The 24,752-nt window shown below is 41.3% G+C and overlaps 1 annotated feature.

Moving 5' to 3' along the window:
- Positions 20,204 to 20,263: a silencer, noted in NCBI's record as "silent region_12141". NCBI's record gives its function as "represses an Ori minimal core promoter by ATAC-STARR-seq in GM12878 lymphoblastoid cells {active_cell/tissue: GM12878}" and the evidence as "EXISTENCE:reporter gene assay evidence [ECO:0000049][PMID:35858748]".

Raw genomic sequence — 24,752 nt, 5'->3', positions numbered from 1 at the left:
CAAAGTCAGATAATAAATATAGTTCGGATCATGAACAGGCCTACCTGGCTCCAGCTTGTTGTGCTGGCTCAACTGGCTCATGAGTTCATTTTCCAGCTCCTCCCATGCTTCATACTGGGGAAAATGATCCACGGGCTGCCCAAGGTGCATTCCAGTGTGTCCAAGGAGCATCCACAAAATCCAGTGTCCCTAAGTAGCAAAGAGAAGTGGAGGAGATAATCAAAAGATGAGCAGGAAAAGGTAATAATGGTCAGTGGGTCAGTATATCTAGCAGGATTCCTACCATATTTTCAGCTGGGGATCTAAAATAGAATGCAGTTCTGCACTATACCTGAAAAAAGTGATTTTCTCTGGGATGCATAACCCCTGAATCCTCTATATTGGTTTTTATGTCGAAATCTCAAATCCTAAACAGGTTTATCATATATTTAGGAGACCAGCTATGTGCATAAGCTCATGGACACTGAATCCCAGCTCTGTCACTAACTCTATGACCCTGGGCAAGGTACTTAACTTCTTTGTATCAGCTTTATTTATTCACTCACTTATTTATTCGTTCACTCAACTAACACTTATTAAGATCCTATTATGTGTCCAGGTACCCTGCTAGGCGGTGAAACAAAAGAGACAGAATCTCTAACCTCAGAACACAACATACTAGTGAGAGAGACAGCAAAAAAAAAAAAAATCCAACAAATGAAAAAAATATTTTTTTTAAATGTGAGAAGTGTTATGAAGAAAACAAACAAGGAGCTGAACTGGAGAAAAAGATATTTGCATTAGATAAAATAATGAACTGGAGAAAAAGATAGTTGCATTAGATAAAATAATTAAGAAGAATCTTTACATAGAAGCATCATAATCTTGGGAATAATAATATGCTTATGTGAAAATTGGAATAATAACACAGTCTTCATTGGATCATGGTGAGGCTTAGTTAGATGTTGCATGCAACACATTTGATTTAGTGCCTGAAGTATAGGAAATGTTCAACAAATGTTTATTATTATTTCTTCTATCCTAGGCTGGACTTAGCACATAGACTTAGTACGTAGTACTAACACGTGGCTTTGCACAAAGTAGGAATTTAATGTGTGTTGGTGGTGAGTTATGATGAGAGTATGGTGACATGGTGCCACTCCTCCATCCTGTCGCTATTCACAGTCTCTGGCAGCATCAGAGGGGCTAAAATTGCCCTCTTAGGCACATACCTATGATAGAAAGGGATATATCATCCTCTGGATTCCCAGAGTGGGTCCCTGCAGGATAATATTGTTCCAGGCAGAAATCAAGATAACCCTAGTACTGATTTGTGTCTCAGTTGCTCACAGTATAAACAGAAGCCAGCAGGGCTGTCCACTCAGCACTTCTTCCCAGGCACAGGAAAAAAAATGTTTCTTTTATAAAAGAAAGATGAAAGAAGGGCATTTTCAGTCTAGTCTGCAGCTCTTTAGAACATAAACTGCTCAGCCCGGGGGAATTGAAATGGATGAAGCATATGCAAAGTCAGATAATGAACGGAGTTTGGGTGAAAAAGATGATAAAAGAAATTGCTTGTTTTTATTTTTCCATCCATAGTGATTGATAGATGAAAAGTGGTCAGTGGTACCAGTCTCACTGATGTGGAACATTTAGGGAAGAGGGCAGCAGTATCTCTGTGATCGCACAATGGATGTAACAGGATTTATTATTTTTAATTCATAAAATAAAATTTCAAATAGACACACACAAATCATGTGAATTTCTAGGACTACTACTTATTATACATGAGAAGTAAAACTACCACATTTACTGGTCTGCTGGTAGAATTCAGGAGACATACTTCTATCCTTGAGGATGGTATGTTGGTCAAATTATTAATGAGATGAACTATGGAAAGGGGAAAGAATACAGACTGAGTGGTAGACAATACCTTCTAATCCTGGGCTGTCACTTACAGACGTGGGCCAGACATTTGTGTTCTCTGGGCTTCCTGATTTTTATGCCATGCAGTGGTTATAGGTATGTTGTGATCTAATAAACCCCTGGCCCATGAGGCCTGGGATAACTGAGGTCCTGAGCTGATCATCAGTCCAGGATTCCTTGAAAGCAGTTTGAGGGGATTCTGACAGCATGTCCCATAGTCCCTGCAGGTGGCAAATACCACAAGCTTGTCTGCCACACACTGAGTGCTGCCAGGAAAGTGCTCCTCACTGTCTGTCTCAGCAGTCTGCTTCAGGGCACGCTGCTACCCACTGTGGGCAAGAAATCTGCAGAGATGCTAGAGACTTCTTGTTCCAGGGGCCCGAGGAGCTTGCTATGAGGTCCAAGTCTTGATTGAGTGTGGCGGATGAGGAGAGAGGGAGGACAGGTGAGACTCCAGCAGGGTAGAGTTCAAGGGCTGCCCTGCACCTCTTTCTTCACGTATGCTGGATACTTACATCTGTACTTGCAGTAGCAGTGCCCTTTTTATGGAGTCCATACAAACAGCAGGGCAAGAGCTCCAGCACTGTGAGCACGTTCTGCATGTTCAAGCGCCTTTCTATCGAAATACTTGGAATGAAAAAAGTTTGACTGAATTTGAAATCCATTCTCATTATCAAAAGAAATTTTAACATTTACATCGGTCAAAGAAAATAAAAAAGAAAAGCTCAGATTCTTTAAAGATAATTTCAACTGTTATAAATTTCTGAATGGCTGTAAAAAATGGTTTTATCACCTACTTGTGAGAACAAAGTTTCTCATCAATGGTGACTATCAAGAATTTGAAAAGATCATTAAAAAGATTTGATCAGGACTTGCTTGTAGCCATTTCAAACATAAAACTTGGTATAAAATAGTTATGTACATGGAAGCAAGCTCAACTTTCTCGTTAAAATTCTTGGAAAAGATGTATTTTGAGCTTTTACACACATTCACTATTCAATATCCATCTCTGATGCTCTTTATTTTTATTATAAAGTATAAAGAAAATGCAAATGTTTTCACTTTGTTTATACAGGTGTCCTCAAGTCCCCCCTTGTATTAGGCCATTCTTGTGTTGCTATAAAGAAATACCTGAGTCTGGGTAATTTATAAAGAAAAGAGGCTTAATTGACTCACAGTTCTGCAGTCTGTACAGGAAGCAAGGCACTGGCATCTGTTTGGCTTCTGGGGAGGCCTCAAGGAGCTTTTACTCATGGCAGAAAGCGAAGTGGGAGCAGACATCTCTCATGGCAGAGTGGGAGCAAGAGAGAGTGAGGTGGGGAGAGGTGCCACAGACTTAACCAGATCTTGCAAGTACTCACTATTGCAAGGAGAACACCAAGCCATGAGGGATCCGCTTCCCACCAGACCCCACCTCCAACACTGGGTGTTAAATTTCAACATGAGATTTGGAAGGGACATCTAAACTATATCACCTCTAGTTCATTTCTGTGTGATTGGTGTACAGATATTATCATGTCATAGTTTGAGTAGATATCAGGACACACAGATGTTAATACTGGTCAAAGAATGCTGGCTTTCTTTGACCCAATCCCATAAGTAACTTGGGCCTCCACTATCCCACCTGTGAAATGACTGGATTAGATTAAATTATTTCAGTTACTCCAATTTCCAAGTTACTTTCAACCATCCATATACTTCTATGCATGTCAAGAATTTATTTCTTATGAAGATGCATCTTAGTAATTGATCAGTGATTTCTTGAATAACTGTAATGCAAAATGGTCTTGCTACAAACCAAAGAAACTTGGTATGCATCACACAGATAGTGGAATTGGGTATACTTTGTGATAAAAGCATTTATTAGCAGGAGAAATTTAGCCAGCACCTTGACTCCAAAGAACTCAACGTGCTATGTTAATGCCACAAGCCTGTTTTTTTTTTTCAAGTTAAAGTCCCTGCAAGCATTTCTCTTGCTCCTCTAAGTTTGGAAAGACACATCAATTTGAAGGAAGCCACGGCATAGTAGTTCCCTTTCCCTTTGCATTCAGAAAGCATTGATGATATGGCCTGTGTTCATGTTGATTACTTTTACATTCCAACATGACTGCCCATTGATTTCCAGCCATCTCTTTCCACCTTTGAAAACAATTATCTCAGATACCTTTTAATCAGCTCATTTGGAGTCAGAATCCTACCTTAACTACCTTCTCCTCCCCAGTTCCCTGCCCCTCTATGGGCAAACACAGTTTTTTTTAAATAAGCCAGACATATTCAACAGTCGAGAGCAGAACAGAGGTCTGGTGCAGACCTTAAAATCAACATGCTTTAGGAAGAGGTCTGGAAAAGTATATTTCTGATTATCAGAAAATGTGGAAACAGCAAAGCATTCATTTCAAAGGAAAGAATTTAAAATAACCGAGTACACATTACCCTAACAGACATGGACAGCTTTGGCACAGACCATTGAATATGTGAGTGCATGACTCCTAACTGCTTGCAGCTACTTCTAAAATTAGAAATATGTGCAGTCCAGAGAAATCTGAGCAGGAGAAAAAGTGTTATGTATCATGATGCCTCAGACCTGCCCTTTGAGAGATGTGGCCAGTCTTTCTAGGAAGATGAGCATCAAAATCTATGTAAAGAAATGATATAACATTGTCAGCACATTTGTTCCAGGGATTAGTATCAACATCACACAAAATAGGTAATACAGGGTATAAGCAAAAGTTCAGGGTTTGGTCTTCAGGTGAAGGAGATAAAGCAAAAATCAGGAATTAGTAAGGACTTAAAAACAATGAGGTCTCTTGGGATTCAGCAGGAGCTCAAGTTACATAAATGGACCATTTAGTAAAGATGAAAGACACCATAGAAAACTATAAAATTCAAGAACTCATATTGTAAAACCATAGGAAGAAATCACATTTATTAAGCACCATATGTAGGGCACTGTAATAGGGTGCTTTCACACCTTGCAAGCTAAGTATGACCATAGCATCATTCCCCTTTCTAATTGATGAGGAAACTAGGACTAATAAAAATGTTAAGAAATTTGTTACAGGTCATACAGCTGGTAAATGATCAATACCTCCTAAGCTCTGACTTGGTGTTAACTTTAGGCATAAATGTTATGGGTATGTCTATCTCTTGGCTTAAATGAGGGGAAATTCTCCAATATCATAATATCTTCCCTACTGGCTCCATTTAATTCCACAGTTATAGGTAAATTCCTTAAAGTCTTAATGATTTTGTTTTTAAAATTTCTGATCTAAATTCAGTCACCCAAGGTGTGGGGCATCTTAAGTAGCTCCCAGGCATTTAATCAAAAGGGACGTGTTGCTCAATGAGCTCTACCGGGAAGCCAAGAGCAAGTCCTACAGGGTTGAGGGGAATCTCCTCTGGGTTCTGGGGCTGGTTAGGGGATCACAGCAGTAGAATACCTTTTTTCCTACACTTTTTGGCTACATATTCTTTGGTTGACTCTGCATGTGACAATTTTGTAATATTTATTACAGAGAACATAGAATGACAATTCAGTCTTTAACATAATTGTTCAAAATTTGATAGTTTGTTGTTGATAGGTTTAAAAAGCACCTTTGGGCTTCAAACTTACTATTTAAATTCCCTATCTGTGAATTTTCTCTGTAGTTATGTTCTAAGAACAGAAAATGCCCACAGGAGAAAGGGTGTTCCTGAAAGTAAACCTTCTATTTCATAATTTGTTGATGGCCAACTAGATGCAGATACAAGGCATAGATGGAGATTAAAATTCAAGGTCTTTTTCAAGGCTCAGGTGCTGTCTGCAAGAGAAAGCAGCCACCCCAGCAAGAAGACAAAGTTGCTAACTCGGCCTGGGGGCATCACTGCCCTTGCCTGTCATGGTCCTAGGGCTGTTGGCTGGCCTGGTGGGCTCAGAAAATCCTCTCCCTCTGCCTACACCTAATGACAGCTCCTTCTGATAGGCCTGCCATGAGCATCCTGACCCATTCTTACCTTCAGTAATAGGAATCTGAACTAGGCACTGTTCATTACTACTTTGACCTAGGTGTCAGAGCACCTTGACTCCCTGGCCACCTTACCCCAGGTTAGACCTGGTAAGGAAGGAGTCAGTGAGAAACTGTAACTGGGAACAGGGAGGTGGAGTGGGGCTGACCAGCCAGATTAGAAGGTTGACAGTCTCTAAACGTTTTGGCCTCAGGCAAAAACTGCCAAGGAATTTACAGATATGGCATTGCCAATAAAAGGCTGAAGTGAAAAGTAACTTTTTGAAACCAATAATGACCACATTTTGATCAAACACAGTAGAGGAAAGACCAAATTATGTTTTCCTCTCTAGAAAAAATTACAAAATTGTTATATAAAGGGACAATCAAAGAGTATAAAGGCAAAGATGAAGGGAAACAAGCATTATAGAACTGTAATTAGGCGCTTAATTACCAAAAACATAATGTTACTTTCCTTTCTGATTTTTTTTTTTAATTTGTGATATTTTTCAGTGTCTTAGTTCATTTGTATTGCTATAAAGGAATAATAAAGACTGGGTAATTAAAGAAAAAAGGTTTGTTTGGCTCATGGTTCTGCAGGTTGCCCAAGAAGCATGACACCAGCATCTGCTTCTGGTGAGAGCTTCAAGCTGTTCCCACTCATGGTGGAAGAGGAAGAGGAACCAGTTGTGCAGAAATAACAGGTGAAGGAAGAAGCACATGACATAAAGAGGGGAGTGCCAGACTCTTTTAAATAAGCAGCTCTTATGGGAACTAATATAGAGCAAGTACTAACTCATTACTGCAAAGATTGCACCAACCATTCATGAGGGATCCACCCCATGACCCAAACACCTCTCATTAGGCCCTACCTCCAAAACTGAGGATCAAATGGAGGAGTCAGATAAACTACAGCAGTGAGTTTTATAACATTTCTGATTTGATGCAATTTCTTTTTGAAATAAACTCTCCCATGCGTACCTACTTTTTAACTCATCTTTTAAAATTCTTTTTCTTAAAGAGTGACCCACAAGTTTAAGCTTTAGGTCCCATAAACCTGGATCTATCATGGGGGCCAACCTTGGAACTTCTGCTTGACATAAAAGGCCATGCCCAGCACTCTCATGTTCTCAGAGATGGAGTCTCTGTCTAGAGGGATGTTAGGAAAAGATGCCTGGTTCAGTTTCGGGGAAAGAACAATAGACTAGAATGGGACTTCAGTTATATTTCCAGATTCGCCTTGTTCTAATTATGTGCCCCGGGAAGGAGGCTGTAATCCTCAGGGAAATGGGATTCTAAAAGCCTCTGCTCATCTCACAGGATGTCCTGCATTAGTATTATAATATAAATGTTAAAATCTTTGTAGAAGGCAGCTGACATAAAGGAAAATGCCATTGCTACCACTCATTGCATATTTTCCCTGGCTAGCAGCAAACTTCAGAGGTTACTGGTAGCATTTTCGTAAAGTTTTATCACCTTCATATCTTGTTCACACACCAACTTTGAGACAAATTGAAAACTGACACGTTCCTTTCTAAATTTCCCCTAAGCGGTGGTGTTGGTAGTGAGGTTCCTTTTAGTTTCTTTTTATTTTTTAAATATGGGAGAAGATGTGAAAACACTCATTTCCCTCCTTTTCCATCTTTTTACCCTTCCTCCTCCACATCCTCGTTGTCCTCCCACTCTCTCAACAGCTCAATGCCACTGCCCTCTACTTCCTGTCAGATACTACACTCTACTTCCTGTCAGAAACTACACTCTACTTCCTGTCAGAAACTGCCCTCTACTTCCTGTAAGATATTGCCCTGTACTTCCTCTTAGTTACAGAATTGGCCATTGCCCTTGTCCAGCTCTTCCAGGGTCTTGTGGAAATATCCTGGAATTGGGCTGACATTCCACTCACCTAGACTGATTAAGAGATAATGGAGGATTAACAGAGAGTGGGGCTTGTTCAGATTTGAGGAAGGCCCCATAGTGATGAAGCCAAAGTCCTTTGTGTACCTCACTGGTCACCCAGTGAGGTCACTTAGGCTCCTCTGATACATGAAGAAACTCCTGACCTGTATCCTCTTCTTTGCCACACCCTTACCCCACCCCAAGCTATTTTTGGCTTCTGCTATACGCAGAAAATAAGCAAATAAAAATGGGGAAATAATCTATAAGTCAATAGCTAATTAGCCACACTTTAATATCCAAGAAAGGAGAATAACACCCTCAAAGGTGTCATTAACCAAAGTGAAGGGCAATGAGTTGGTCCCTTCTGGAAATTTTCTGTATCTCTATAAATTTGTTACTCAAGGTAAATCACCAGTCTGTCTAGCCACATTTGTTAACAATGCATGTAACTCTTAACGGCATCTCAAAAGCATACTTACTCTCAATTTCGCTTCTCATTCGTTTTTATGATGCCAGAGAAATTCAGATTATATAGGCTTTCTTTGTGCTGAGATGGTAATTTTATATCACTGTAGATTAATAGCATTTTTAGTGATATTTGGTATCACTCATTTGTCTCCTATGGTCATAAAGATATATATTTTTTCTAATTTGGCTTTTCCAACAAATAAAAAATAAGAGTCTTTTTCTGTTGAATGAGGGAAAAAGTCATTCTGATCATGAAGAATTATTCTCTTTTAACATACCCACAATCCACCATCTAATTGTTTTGGTTATTGCAGCAATACAGTTTCTACAAAAATGTGTGTGTGCATGAGTGCATATATACAGTCTGTCCTGCAGAAGATTTTCTCCTTTTTGCTACTTGATCTTTGGGTTCTCATTACTGAGAACTCTGTTACAGCTTGTTCATCTAGGTACTCCTGTTTAGGAAGATGTAAACTTTCCCTTCCTTCCCCTTCCTCTCCCTTGATCCTAGAGTTTTGCAGATATTTTTACTTTGTGAACATATTGATATTTCTGGAATTCTATTCTGGGAACTGATTCTGCAGTGCTCACAGGAACAAGTACCCATTCCAGGGATGGTTATTATGAAACAGAAAGGCAGTCAGACTCGGTTTAGCTATCAGCTTTTAAGAGCTTCCTCCATCTGCTAAAATGTGCACCGCAAAGTTGCACATAAAATGCTGATTAGTATCTCAGTGCAGATTCATATAATGATCCACTTTCTCTTGGTTTACACCACACTCTCCTAAGTACCTATTCACCTGTTCTATTGGAAAATTTTAATCATCTCTCTGACATTAGCTTGGCAATTTCAGTGGCCACTTCACAATCTTTCAAAGTCTTTCTGCTCCACTTCATTCCTATTTCTTTTCTGCTTGTGTTAATTATTTTTGCAGCCAGCATACGTGTTTGTCAATAATGCATTACATTTTCCATGTGTCAGTTCTTCAGCCCATCAAAGAACCCTGCTTTTACATTCTGAGTCTATTTTCTCCTTTCCCGACTCAGCTAATTTTGCTCTGGGCCTGCCTCTGCTCCTCATTCCAAATCCATCAGTAGTTGCATGAAACTTGGTAACTGCAAGGCAGTCCCCAATTTAATTGGGTCTAGTTCTCCACAGAGCATTACGTTTGAGCCTACAGCGGGCTGCAAGTTGTCCAACAGCCTGTACTTCTTTGATAACTGAGGTGCCTTAAATGTCCTCACTTCTGGGATACCAACTTCTGGAATGTGCACAAGACAGTTCTCCTGTCTTGAATCAAGGGCCAGGAGGTAAGTCCCTCCTTAAGCCCGAGGATCATGAAAATCTCTCCTGACCCCACTAACTTCATTCCCAAACATGATGTCTTTGCTTAATGAAAAAGCCTTCTCTCACTAAAGAAACTCCTAGCATAGTGGTAGGTACACTCCAAAGCCCTATGAATACTTACTTACACAATTGAATGCGATAAAAACGCTTAGGATCCACAAGCTCCCTGGGCTGTTTTGGAGGATGTGGAGGGGATGAATGTTGCTCAATTTTAAAATATCAGTACCGTTCTTCCCTCTGTCCCAGCATAACCTATTCTTGGGAATTTTCTAATGGTTACCACTTCCTTTTTCATGATTAGTGTCAAGGTTAGCAACAAGCTGTTATAATTCCAAGACTCTGCTTTTGCAGTTGCTTCTGAGAATCACTGACTAGTTCCCTCTCACAGGCCAAGGAAACGCCATTTTACTTCTCAGAATGAATGCTCCTTTGGTGAAGGGCACATAAAGGGAAGTTTCTTTTCTTGTTTGCTTTTGTTTAGAATTCCCTCCGGGGTTACACACATCATCCTGTTCTAATTCCCTGGCTTCTTGGGGAAACACTCAGGCCATGACAGGAAGAGAAGGGACACAGGCCCCAAGCTCATGGACAGGGAGATGGCATGAGGGTCCTCTGCATCTGGGCTGCCCATTTGGTTTCCTCGTTGGCCCAAGTTAGTCATTCACGTGCCCCGGAATCGTCCAAGTGCCACACACTGACCCTTGGTAAGATTCCATTTCTTACTTCCCTTAACTATGACTGTCATTTGCCAGCTCCTTCTGATATTTTTAACTGCTTGCCATCACTTGGAAGCCCTTCATCTCCATGCTGAAAGAGACTGCTGGAAATGTCTGGGCATGGAAAACAGAAATGTGGAAAATGAGAATGTAAGGAGGAGTAGGAATACAGACTTGGACTGACAAATAATACTAATGCCAATCCTGCATGCTTAAGGTGTGTAGATAATCAGAAATTTCTTTCGTTGTTAGCCCTTTTCTAATAATCACTACAGACAATAATTTTCTTCTAACTGTCCCACAAAGAACATTGCTTTTTAACTGTTGTTCTGCCTACTCTCTGGCAGTCATGCTAATAAGCAAAGGAACTGGCAAAGACCTGCTAAAGGGACAAGAAGAAAGGGAAAATGAAGTCATATTTTATTCATCATTCAGATATTCACCTCATTATTTGAACTATTAATAGAAAATTGAGGCTTTTTCCTCTCTTGTGGGTATCCTATCTCTTTATTTTTAGATCTTCTTGGAAATACCTTTCTGAAACTTGAAGATCCCCTCTAGATATTATTTTCCAGGATGAAAGGCCTCTAGCAGAGTCTTTAATGTGCAATAATGAGAAGATGAAACATTATTGTGTTTCCTCTGGACTCTTGTATTTGAACTTGATCCAGGATTGACACTAGGCAGCTCACCTTTCCCACATCATGGTTAGCTCTAAGTCAGGCTAAGAAATTACCTTCCCTGGCCACTCCCTGCTTTGTCCAGTTAAATAAAAATGAATTTTTAGTTTTATTTAGTTAACTAACTCCATGGGCCATGGTAAGCTAAAGAAAAGTAGATGTATGAGAGGAAACGTTGGCAAATTCTCTGTACTTATTTAGAGTACAGGAAAGATCCATAATTAACCATGCTTTGGGAAAATACTTCCTTGGAATGGTCATATTGAAGGGTTTGGTTTAAAAAAAGTTGAGGGTTGGGGGCTTCTACATCACATCCTCGCTACATTTTTTTAAAAATTAAGATTTCTATAATTTTTTTTTAGAAATTAAGGCTTCTATAAAATTCATGTAATTTTAACCAGGGATAATCTCACTCAGTTTCCACGTGTGTGAAATGGGGATTATAATAGTACCTTTTCTCGGGCTTTCTGGGACTACTTTATATAACATTTGGAAGAGTACCTCTCCAATTATCATGCTGTACACCTTGAATATATACAATTTTTGTGTCAGTTATACCTCAATAAAGCTGGAGGGAAACCCTCATTTCCACAGTGAAAATAAGTACCTAGCACACAACTAATATTCTAGTCTATAATTCTATAAATGTTAGCAATTATTATTATCAACTAATAAAATTCCCAATTACCCTTATACCATATGACCCTTTGGGGGAGAGGACTAATAGTCCATGAATAGTATGGAATCTGCATGTACAGAGTTTTAGAAACTTTTGTTTTCACTGCTGCATTTTAAAATAGATTACTTATCAGAAAAGAAAAGCTATTTTCAATATTACTTTAAAATGGGAAGACCTGCCTGCAACACCAGTCCTTCATTCCTGCAAGGCAACAATGAGCTAGAGCTGAAAGGCCGTTTTAAAAAATAGGGTGTGTCTCACCAGTTTGCAAAATCCCCCAGCGTCCTCCATGCAGCTACTTCGCTCATTTATGCATCTGCATTTCCCTCTCCTGTCTTATACTCTACCAAGTATTTTTATATAGGCTCATCTCTCTTGTTTTACACAAACAATGAGACAAGAGGTTAGGCAATACTATCTAAATTTTACAGTTGAGAAAATTAATAAAAGGTTAAAGGAATTTTATAATAAAATGGTGCACAGTGAGTCACTTGGGACAGGGACTAAAATCCAGACCACCCTCATCTCCAATATTGTGCTGCTTCCCAAACCATGTGAACAAACTCCTTCCTCAAATTTCATTAGAAATGATTTGTCCTCTGTCAATTGCATCCAGTGTTCTTTGCTGTGATTTTAAGCAGCAGGACAACATGATGCGCCAGTTTTAAATAGTAAGTTAAAATGTGACCTAAGGTGTTTGAGGCAGCGTCCTCTCCACTCTACTAATAATCAGGGCAGTTTCTAATTATTTGCATGGAAGTTGGCTCCCAAGATAATTCAGTGTCCGTGTGGCTCCATTTCACCTCTACTTATTTCCATTACCTTGCATATTAGCTATGTCAAGTTGATGGGCCTGCTGTTCCCCAGGGTGGCTATTATAAATACTGGTGCTACAGTGAAATGCTTCCAGTCTTCTGGAACCTCATTTGAACTAAGGAAGTTCTCCATAATGATCATTAATGATATATTGCTTGCATAAAGATGTTGGATATTAATCTTTTGTTTACTTTCTTTATGCCATCAGACTTTTAAAATGTTCTTTGTAATATGAGTTAACTGTTGACCAGGAGTAGCTTCTCCATTGGGGACTGAATGACTTTTTATAGCTGACAATTTACTATGGCAGGTAAAGGAGCTATCTTAGACCCCTGCCTGAAAAATCCACTTCTCTTGGCAGATATGGCTGCCTAGAGCTCTTGTAGCTAAAATAGCATTAATGCCTATGTACAAAACTTCATCTGAGTCTCTTTTCAAGTCTGCAAAGACTGTCAGCTGCCTAAGTGTCATAAATTTGGGACTGGAGCTTGTTTCGTGCCAGGAATTTCCTGCAAGGTGACTGGGATGAGTCTAGTCACCAACCCTTGAAGGAGGGGCATTGTGGGTGCTGGATGAATTATGTTCCTTTCTCACAGGACCTAGATTTGGTCCATGCTGATGAGTCTGAGAGTTCATCTGGTCTGGATCCTTCCACAAATTCCCTTCTGTTGAGACTCAGATTTCAAGTGCTGGATTAAATCTAAGAGAATCCTCTAAGGCTTAAGATAAGCTTTTCTTCCAATTTTGAATTGGATTGGGAGAAATGCCTGCAGTTTGGTTTAGTTTGCCCTTATATCATGGGACTGGACTAGAAATAGATGAGCATCTGTGCAGGAAATAACGATGATACTCTCTGTGGCACAGCGTCACTGAGCTTGAGCTCAAGAACATGATAGACCTGGATTTGAATCCCTGCTTGCCACCTACTAGCTATGAAACTTTAGGAAGGTTTCTTAAACTCTCTTTAAGAGTTAGTTTTCTGCCCAGGCATGGTGGCTCAGGCTTGTAATCCCAGCACTTTGGGAGGTCAAGGCCGGCAGATCGCTTGAGGTCAGGAGTTCCAGACCAGCCTGGCCAACATGGTGAAACCCCATTTCCATCAAAAATACAAAAATTAGCTGGATGCCTGTAATCCTAGCTACTCAGGAGGCTGAGGCAGGAGAATTACTTGAACCCAGGAGGCAGAGGTTGGCAGTTAGCCAAGATTGTGTCACTGCACTCCAGCCTGGGAGACAAAGTGAGACTCTGTCTCAAAAAAAAAAAAAGACATAGTTTTCTGTCTGTTTAATAGGAATGCTAACAGTAGTCACTTCATAGGATTTTTGTGAGGATTAAATGACAAGATATACACAAAACTTTAAGCCCACAGTGCAGTACAAAGCAAGAGCTCAGTACAAAGTACAAGGGTGTAATATTTATTTATTTTGTTATTATTATTATTATTTGAACCCACATAGGTCTCAGCTGTATGGAGTCCCTTTCTAATTTTACTCATCCTGAAAAAGAGAGGGTGTTTGTAGGCTGTCGCCATGTGTCTATTCCTGCACTACCTGACTTTGTGATCAGCAGTTAGAATGTAATAGAGGTAAAGAAGATCTTGCTGGATTTAGTTATGAGCAGGATGAGGAAATGGCCCTATGCCAAAACTGTAAATTTACCAGAAATCTGTTACAGTAAGGAATGCACATTAAAATATATTAGAAGCAGACATGCTGATGATATGTAAGCTCATATCTGAGGAAGATGTGGAGCAGCTCGTGGGTAAACATAGACACCAAAGCCACCAAGGTGGGGATGACATGGTCTGGGGACACAAGGAGGTTTGTTAGGACCATGGTTGTCAATGTAATTGCCACTGTCCTTGAAATTCTTATCCTCTCTCAAAGTACTTTTTATTGTATTGTATTTTTTTGAGACAGGGCATTGTTCTATCATGCAGGCTGGAGTACAGTGATGCAATCACAGCTCACCATAGTCTCAGCCTTCCAGGCTTAAGCAATTCTCCCACCTTAGCCTCTCAAGTAGTTAAGACTACAAGCACACAGCATGACATCTGACTAATTTTTCTGTTATTCTTTGGAGTTTTTTTTTTTTTTTTTTTTTTTTGTAGAGACAGGGTCTCATGATGTTGCCCAGGCTAATTTCAAACTCCTGGCCTCAAGTGATCCACCTCAGTTTCCCTAAAAATGTGCTGGGATTATAGGTGTGAGCCACCACTCTGGCCATAGATACCTACGGCAATGTTTGCTGCCATCATCCTATTCTTGTTCTAATTCATCTCTCCACACTGCTGCCAGAGTGGGCTTTATAGAACACAACCCTAATCATGCCATTTCTCTGCTTAGTGGTCTTAGCTGGTCCCCATGGCTTACCCAATTAAGTTTAGTGGTCAGAATCAAAAGGATAATCCCCTAGACCTATGCACCATTGTCAATCCCTTCATCCCTGAATCCAGAGGAAGCTGGTGGTCCCACACTAGAGGACAGTGCTAGGAAGAAGCTGGAAAACTCAAGGAATGCTTTTCACCACATCCTCTAAGCATTCCCCCAGGGGTCCAACTGAAAAAAGCTTAAGGGAAAGACACACACGAGTTTTCCCTCTTGCCTGGAGACTAAATATCTTCACAACAAGGAAATGTTTGTGGCTTTATATACCTGAAAAGCTGTTCAATCCCTGTATTAGTCCATTTTCACACTGCTGATAAAGACATACCCAAGACTGGGCAACTTACAAAGGAAAGAGGTTTAACAGACTTACAGTTCCATGTGGCTAGGGAGGCCTCACAATCATGGCAGAAGGCGAAAGGCACTTCTTCCATGGTGGCAGCAAGAGAGAGAGCTTGTGCAGAGAAACTCCCATTTTTAAAAACATCACGTCTCGTGAAACTTATTCACTATCATGAGAGTGGCACATGAAAGACCTGCCCTCATGATTCAATTATCTCCCACTGGGTACCTCCCACAACACGTGGGAATTATGGGAACTACAAGATGAGATTTTGGTGGGAACACAGAGCCAAACCTTATCATTCCATACTTGGCCCCTCCCAAATCTCATGTCCTCACATTTCAAAACAAATCAGACCTTCCCAAAAGTCCCCCAAAATCTTACTCATTTCAGCATTAACTCAAAAGTCCATAGTACAAAGTCTCATCTGAGACAAGGCAAATCCCTTCTGCCTATGAGCCTGCAAAATCAAAAGCAAGTTAGTTACCTCCTAGATACAATGGAGGTACAGGCATTGGTTAAATACAGCTGTTCAAAATCGGAGAAATTGGCCAAAACAAAGGGGCTACAGGCACCATGCAAGCCTGAAATTCAGCAAGGAAGTAAAATCTTAAAGCTCCAAAATGATCTCCTTTGACTCCATGTCTCACATCCAGGTGACACTGTTACAAGAGGTGGGCTCACACAGCAGTGGGCAGCTCTGCCCCTGTGGCTTTGCAGGGTACAGCCCCAACTCCCGGCTGCTTTCATGGGCTGGCACTGAGTGTCTGCAGCTTTTCCAGGCACACAGTGCAAGCTGTCAGTGGATCTACTTTTCTGGTGTCTAGAGGACGTTGGCCCTCTTCTCACAGCTCCATTAGGTGGTGCCCCAGTAGGGACTCTGTGTGGGGGCTCTGACCCCACATTTCCCTTCTGTATTGCCCTAGCAGAGGTTCTCCATGAGGGCCCTGGCCCTGCAGCAAACTTCTGCCTGGACATCCAGGCGTTCCCACCCATCCTCTGAAATCTAGGCAAGATTCCCAAACCTCAATTCTTGACTTCTGTGTACCTGCGGGCTCAACACCATGTGGAAGCTGCCAAGGTTTGGGGCTTTCACCCTCTAAAGCAACAGCTGTACCTTGGCCCCTTTTAGACATGGCTGGAGCAGCTGGGATACAGGGCACCAAGTCCCTAGACTGCACACAGAAGAATGACCCTGGGCTCAGCCCATGAAACCATTTTTTCCTCCTAAATCTCTGGGCCTGTGATGGGAGGAGCTGTGGCAAAGGTCTCTCTGACATGCCCTGGAGATATTTTCCCCATTGTCTTGGTGATCAACATTCAGCTCCTTGTTACTTATGCAACTTTCCACAGCCAGCTTGAATTTCTCCTCAGAAAATAGGATTTTCTTTTCTACTGCATTGTCAGGGTACAAATTTTTCAAACTTTTATGCTGTTTCCCTTTTAAAACTGAATGCCTTTAACAGCACCCAAATCACCTCTTGAATGCTTTGCTGCTTAAATAATTTCTTCTGCCAGATACCCTAAATCATCTTTCTCAAGTTCAAAGTTCCACAAATCTTTAGGACAGGGCAAAATGCCACCAGTCTCTTTGCTAAAACGTAACAAGAGCCACCTTTGCTCCAGTTCCCAACAAGTTCCTCATCTCCATCTGACACCACCTCAATCTGGACCTTGTTATTCTTATCACTGTCAGCATTTTCGTCAAAGCCACTCAACAAGTCTCTAGAGAGTTCCAAACTTTCCGACATTTTCCTGTCTTCTTCTGAGCCCTCCAAACTGTTTTAACCTCTGCCTGTTACCCAGTTCCAAAGTTGCTTCCACATTTTTGGGTATCTTTTCATCAGCATCACTCTACTGGTACCAATTTACTGTATTAGTCCATTTTCACACTGCTGATAAAGACATACCTGAGACTGGGCAATTTACAAAATAAAGACGTTTAATGGACTTACAGTTCCACATGGCTTGGGAGGCCTCACAATCATGGCAGAAGGTGAAAGGCACTTCTTACATGGGAGCAGCAAGAGAGGGAGCTTGTGCAGGGAAACTCCCATTTTTTTAAACCATCTGATCTCATGAGACTTATTCATTATCAGGAGAACAGCACAGGAAAGACCCACCCCATGATTCAATTATCTCCCACTGGCTCCCTCCCACAACACGTGGGAATTATGGGAGCTACAAGATGAGATTTGGGTGGGGACACAGAGCCAAACCATATCAATCCTTAATGTTGATTCTGGGGTCTTCCAGAAGAGTCGCTACAGAGGACTTGGGACTCAGTTTTTCCAACTGATTACCATCTCTTTTTGGAATGATGTCTTCCTCTCTGCTGCCTCCATGTGTCTGACTTAACAGTCTTCTGCTTTTTCTTTAAATGCATACCTGATTATCTGATTGGCATAATCTGTGTGATTCATAGGGAAGCCTCAATTACATATAGCTTTTTAGTGTTCCATGTGTAAATGGGAGTTGAGACTGCTCACCTTCAGAGTTTTTAGAAAAACCGAGTTGTCCCTTGACAATTACAAAAACAACTATTCTTTCAAACCTAAGGGGCTTCACTCAAAGTCAATACAGGTAATTTGGCTGAGGTAGCAGGTACAGGTCCTCCTGTTCTTCCCCACTGTTTTCAATTTCTTGGCTCCCACGTCAGCAAGCTAGATGACTCTGCCTCTCTGCTGGGAATTTAGGAGATTGCCCGGGAAGGCCACTGTGGTAATGATGGTGGCAGCAGCCTTTCTCTAGACATTACACTTTGCTCCATATGTGGCTATCATTATATGACATGTTCCCATTTTAATAACCCAAACCAAGAAAGATACATTATGTTCAGCTCTTCCCCAATACTTATCTCACAAAGAAGTATAGGTTGGGAAAACATTTATATTTTTAAAATCGGTGATCTCTGTGCATTGAGATTTACCTAACTGACACAGATCAGTAAACTGTTGGCCTCTGGTTTTGGATTAAGCCAAAGCACCTTGGCTTATGGCATACAGAAGATGCCAGGAAGCCTGAGGGTCCTCTGAGAGAGTTAACTGCTCTAGTACCAGCTACCTGTCAGAGGCTTTATTTACCACAATTTATAAAATACTTTGTTTTAAGCATTCAATGAAAATGGGTATGTTAATTCCATATCATGACAGGCATTTCATGAAGATACAGAAAATAACTTTTAATATTTCTCCTTATGAAAGAAGAGGGTTTGTGAGATAGTAAAAATTCTTCAGCTCCTTGCTGGAAATGAGAAAACTCAATGAGAAACTCAACCTACAGACAAGATTCCCATCTCTACAACTATTAGCTTCTAAGTCCTATCAGTTAAGAATCTAACAACACGTTTGGTTTCTAAAATTACTGACCTATGTTCCAAATCAGTTTTTTAAACAGAAAACGATTTCACTCCCATCAACCTTGTTGGTCACTGGAGAGATGGCTTGAGAAATGCCTGCCGTCAAACTTGTACTCAGCAGCATATTTCCTATTAAATTAGCAGCGTGAAAAACAAAAATAGAAGTTAGTGATTTCCTACAGCCCCTAAACCGCTTTATTCTTCCAACAGAAATGTTGCAGCACATTACTCCAAAATGTAGACTAGGACCCTTGGGTATTTTACAAGTGAACAATGGCTGAGACATTTAATTTAAGAAACACAGCGAGCTAAGCACTTATTTATTTGAGCAAAAATTTCAGAGGGCTTTTATCATGCTTGCACAAGATCCAGATATCTGAAGACTCTGTAAATCCATAAATACCCTCTGGCATGATGGGCCATTATGGCTCTTAAAGACTCATTGCTGTCTATAGGATCAAATGTGTGCTTCATGTGGAAGCCTGGGAGGAAGATTTATATGTCGACAATTCCAAATCAAATCTCTATTTAAAACTCACTGTCTTGGGAAAGAACCTCAAACTATTTTTGCCTGCTGGTATGAAGCATTAAGTTTCCTGCAGAGAGTCCTAGTAACATTTCAATTCCCCAAGCTCACATCTGTACACACCTGCAACCAAATCTCTTCCCTTTTTTTCTCCCTGGGGGATGGAACTCAGCTTAGTAGATAAGTCTCATGGGCTCAGACCTACTACTTAAATCAGATTTGACCAGTGTCACATAAATCACTTAATCTTTTGGAGAGATGAGTGTTGGAATGAAGAGATAAATTTCTTTCCAAAGGTCATTTCTGTTTTGCTCATGACCAGAAGGAGAAGCAGGGCAGTGCCGCCTCATTAAAGAAACAGAAAAAGCTTCCAGAAGCCAGGAGTGTTAAGCAATGTCATGTGGGCGGGAAAGGTTAGAGAGGATAAGAAATCTGAAAAGAACCTTAGGTGCCAACCTTTTCCCATTTCTTACTCCAAGAGGTCATTTGGTCTTGTTGATTCTATCTCTACCATGTTTTCAAACTTGACCCCTCCTTTCCATTGGTTCTCCTGTAGCCTCAGTCCAGGCCATCATCATCCCAGCCCGGGACTATTTGCTCTCCGTTTGCTCCACGTGGCTGAGAGCAATATCTCTGTTATTTGTACAACTGATTGTATGTCAAGCCTGGTTCTCCTCACTTGGAAAGTGTTTCTTCCATTATCCTGTCCTCCCCACCCCCAGACTTCCTGTTGTTTCCTGAAAGCATCTCAGCTCATTCCTATTCCCCTCTGCTTAGAACATCCTCTTATATCCCTGCCCTTACTGTATTTTACTCTGTCACCTTAAAAAAACGAATACCAGCATGTGATGTTGTTTAAGGCCTTATGAACAGGTTTCTCTTTGTTCCTCAATGTCACCACTTTTCTACAAGCACAAAACCTTCCCGTTTGTACCATCACATGTTGAGACCCTGTAGAACCTCTGGTGTCTAAAGACCTTCAACTGGCTTTGGCAAAATCTCTGGGGTCACAACCCAGGTTGTCCTGACTTTGGTTTCCACACTAATAGTCAACATTTACCCGCAGGGCCCCTTTCCCCACTTCCTCTGTCTTTATATCTACATGTAGCATAACAGCTGTGACCCACCTTTTACCACACCCAACAGCTACTGGGTAAGCACCCATGCAATTCTCGTCACTTATTGCCACCAGGCCAACTTCTAGAATGGTCTCTGATTTGCTCTCCCACACCCACCACTTGCCTCTGCTTATCCCAAAAGATTCCCATCCCTTGGCTGAGGATCCTTAGTGATGGAAAATCTTGTGATATTAGGTGAAGAGTGAGTCCAATCTAATTTCATTTCTCACCACCTGTATGTCCTCTACCCTCACTATGCCTTCCCCTAATTTTTTCTTTTATGTGCTTTCTGATGCTTTTCTATGATGCTCCAAAGAGAGTCTCATTTCCCTCTGCTCCTCTCTACAGCTCTAGTTCATTCATCCTTGCCTACAGAGTTGTTATTTGTAAGAATAGCTAAAAATGATTGAGTCCTTACTGTAAGCCAGGCCATGTACTTTTATGTGGATTATCTCATTGATTCTTCATGACGGTTTTATAAGGAAAGCACTACTGTTTTCATGCCCACTTTATAGAGTGGAGAACTGAGGCTTAAAGGGATAAAATAACCTGTCCGAGTTTGCACAGCTGGGAAACAACAGCAGCAGGAGTTCGGTGCATTCACTCTCTTTTTACCCATCATGCTCTAAAGCCTTGCTTGCTGGAAGCTGGGTGCTGCCCACACATTGTTCATACAGCAGGGTAGTTTGGAGATGCTGACATCTTGCATCCAGTCCACTAAGTGCTAGTCAGCCTCCCTGGCAGAGTGCCTAGTGACAGCTGCCATGGAAACGACCTTTCTCCACACCTGTTCAGACTGTATCCATCTAGGGGAGGCTCCTTGGAACCTTGGCTGATTCTGGTCTGATCCCTTCCTTCTGAAAACTCCACCCTCAGGGCAGGTGACATGCCAACTGGCATCAGCCAGAAAGCAGCCACCTGTAGCCCAACCTGCCCTTGGAGAAACAGCATTGAAACAAACTTGTACAGTTCATACCAAGAACTCCTTCCCCCACACACTTTTCCCTCATAGCTTCCCTAAAACTACCAATGCCATTCTCCTGCCCTTGCCTGCAACTTCTGCTTATAGTGCTGATTAAGAACTGATGAAAAATCTGAATATAGTAAAAAGCAAATACAGACACAAAGACTTTTCTCACAAATTCTTCCCTGTCATCTTTTCCTGCCCTTCACTTAGACCATTTTTCTGACATGTATTACTCTTATTTCTTCAAATAACATCTTTGAAACTAATTAAAGTTATCTGAAATATTTCAGAGTAAATAAAATGAAGTTATGATTGCCATCCTCTTGACCAGTTCTGTGTATGATATAAAGAGCCAAATACCAGACTGATTTTAGCTTCAGCTCAGCTTTGAACTTCAATTTTTTGGACGTTTCTTCTTGGCGAACCCCAACTGCCACCATCGCCAACAACCCCACCTAGAATCCCATCAGAAAGGTTTTGAAGAAGAAAAGTTACTAGATTCTGATTCTTTTCAGGTATTATGATCCTGAATTTTAAAAACAACTTCCCTGTTGACGTCCTCAGAAATTATTGACATAGGGTTTTAGAAGCTAAAGGTTTTTTTTCTAATTATCTTTTTTTTCACCAACTGAATATTATCATTGACATATTCTTTTTTTTTTTTTTTTTTTTTTTTTTTTTGAGACGGAGTCTTGCTCTGTCGCCCAGGCTGGAGTGCAGTGGCGGGATCTCGGCTCACTGCAAGCTCCGCCTCCCGGGTTCACGCCATTCTCCTGCCTCAGCCTCCCGAGTAGCTGGGACTACAGGCGCCCGCCACTACGCCCGGCTAATTTTTTGTATTTTTAGTAGAGACGGGGTTTCACCGTTTTAGCCGGGATGGTCTCGATCTCCTGACCTCGTGATCCGCCCGCCTCAGCCTCCCAAAGTGCTGGGATTACAGGCGTGAGCCACCGCGCCCGGCCGACATATTCTTTATTAATAGAGCTCAGCACCCAAAACCACATTACCTAGAGATTCAGCATCACTGTTTTTATGTGTCTATGTCATTGTGTTTTCACAATGTGTCATCTGAAATATGACCACCTGGGCATGCAATGCTGCCAGGCTCTTTTCCTAAAAGGTGATGGGTGGAAATGGGGCAGAGATGGTTAAGCCTTGATGGTGGAGGTGGAGCGGGTGATCAGGGAAGAACAGATCTGGGCGTTTGTGGGCAGCAGGATAGGATGGTTTGGCTTAGGAGAAGTGGACAAAGTGGATGAAAGAAGGCAGCAGAACTGAGGAAAACCATGGTGGTGGGGAGACCAGGTCAGTGCCCAACAGAGCCCCAGAGTCCAGGGTCCACCCTCTTCTCATCCACCAGCTGGGCCTACTGATTTGTTCTTTTTGGCTCTCTTTCTTCTCCTAGTCATCAATTCCTCTTTCATTCTTGCTGTAGCTGCACTTTTCCCTTCTCCCAGACCTCAGCTTCAGCTTTGCCAGTGGTGCCCTTTTGTCCTTGCTCCTGGCTCCAGAGCTCCAGGTGTTACTGTTGCCAAAAGCTACCAGCTTTGGGGGCTGTGATTGAATTTCTATTTTCAACATGAGGGAACAGGAGGTTTGGCATCTCTGTTGGCTCTGTTGGGCTGGAGTTTGAAATGTGAACTCCTGGACAGTCTTCTGGATGCTACTCTGCATTTGTTACACATCTGAGCAATGAGGGTAGTGCCCTGTGTCATTTAGTTGCCCTTTAGCATTGAGAGTATATGCTCTTGTGCAACAGAGGGTGAACCTGTAATAAAGGCCTGGAAGATGTATCTGGATGCATTGGTTTGTGGAGTGAATGGGAGAGAGTGAAGGTATTAATAAGCTGTGGGCTGTGTCGGGGCAGCCACTTGGTCCAACTATGCGTCTCTCCATACCCAGCTTCAATCATAAGCACGGGCCCAATCACTCAGTTAGAACTTACTAAAGATAGGAATGAATGAATGAATGAATGAATGAATGGAGTGGACAAATTAATAATGCCGCATGGAAACAAAGAAGGACAGGAACATGAAAGTAAAGGATTGCTTTGTCTGAAAACCATACAGGCAGTAAAGGGCACACGTCTTCCTGGCACTCGGGGAAGCCGCACTGCCAGCAGCAGCTCTCGAGAGCTAGGACGCTGCACAGAAGGTATGGGAGCATCTAAACAGGCTGCACTGCTTGATGGCTTAAGATAAATATTCATACTTAATACTGGTTCTAGGGTATGAATTTTTAGACTATAATTCTTTAAAATTTATTATAGTTTTAAACTTAATTGGGTGAAAATATTTATTGGTGGGGGAGGGGATGCAATTACCCAATTACCAAAGCTAGAATGAATCCTAGGAGGGATACTAAAACTATCTTTAAGTACTGAGAGGATTTTATTACAGCAACTCTTAAAACAATAATGAATGTTATGTGTTCCTCAGCCATTTTTACAACGGAAGAGAAACACACCTTTTTCAAACAGAAAGCAGATTTGCGTCTGTGGAGGAAGAAGCAAGAAACGGCTCCATGCCAACAAATCCTCCTCACAAACCCCCACCACTAAAAAAATCACATTTTCTTTGAACGTTAAGAAAAAGGAGGAGTGGGTGGAGAGGGAAACTCTAGTGAAGCTACAGACAGTACAATGGAGAGGTGGGAAATAGCATTAAAAATATGTTGGCATTTTCCCTAATGGGGAGTGCTGACAAGTACAATCCTATTACTCAAATCACATCAGCAATGAGATAAATGAAATAAAAACAAGATCTCGTGTGACCAGAGTGGCTATTTGTCCACAGATTTTCATTGCATTGAAAGTACCCCCAAAAATGGGACATAGTAGAAAACATTGTTAAGGAGGCTTTTAAAACACATCATTGAGATTACAGCACCTTTTAAAATAAACAGCACTGAATAGCAACACAGGTAAAATGTCATTGTAAGACGGGGTTCCGATATTCAACGGCGTGCTTTATGGCTTTCCAGTGTGTGATAAAATCTGTTCACCAGATGTACTGTATGTCTCCTGTGTAGCATACTTGAGCATCCTGTAGGCCCAAGGCACATTTATTTCATGTAATTGCCTTTCCTGTGCACACCTTGGGGCACCCTAATTCTCCATTTTATTTCAGGCACTGTACAGGGTACCATCTGGTAGTTTTAAACTCATCCCGTTTTATGGCACTACTGCAGTGGCTATATTCAGCTGTACTGCAGGCTTTCGGTGGAGACAGACTTCTTACTACCAGCTATTTATTTCTGCCTGAAATAAAGTAGCCTTGAACTATCAACATGCAGGATTCACACGTAGATTGTCACCAGTCCATACGAGCTAGACAGAGATTCCCAGGCAACCTGCAGACTTGAAGCATTTCCGAATTGCTTTACGCACAGCTGTTAACTTATAGAATTGGGATTCTAAATTCTTCGCCTACTTCTGCACATAATGATATCTTTTTAGTATCTCGTTTGTATTATTTCAGTTCAGATGAGCACAAAAATAAATGTATTCCATCACATCTGGAAAAGTACCACAGAGAAATCACTTAATATACAAAGCTGCACACCT

The sequence above is a fragment of the Homo sapiens genome, chromosome 2, assembly GCF_000001405.40.
Source record: "Homo sapiens chromosome 2, GRCh38.p14 Primary Assembly".
In the NCBI taxonomy this organism is placed as follows: domain Eukaryota; kingdom Metazoa; phylum Chordata; class Mammalia; order Primates; family Hominidae; genus Homo; species Homo sapiens.
The sequence above is the reverse complement of the archived record's forward strand: the minus strand, read 5'-3'. Positions and strand labels throughout refer to the sequence as shown.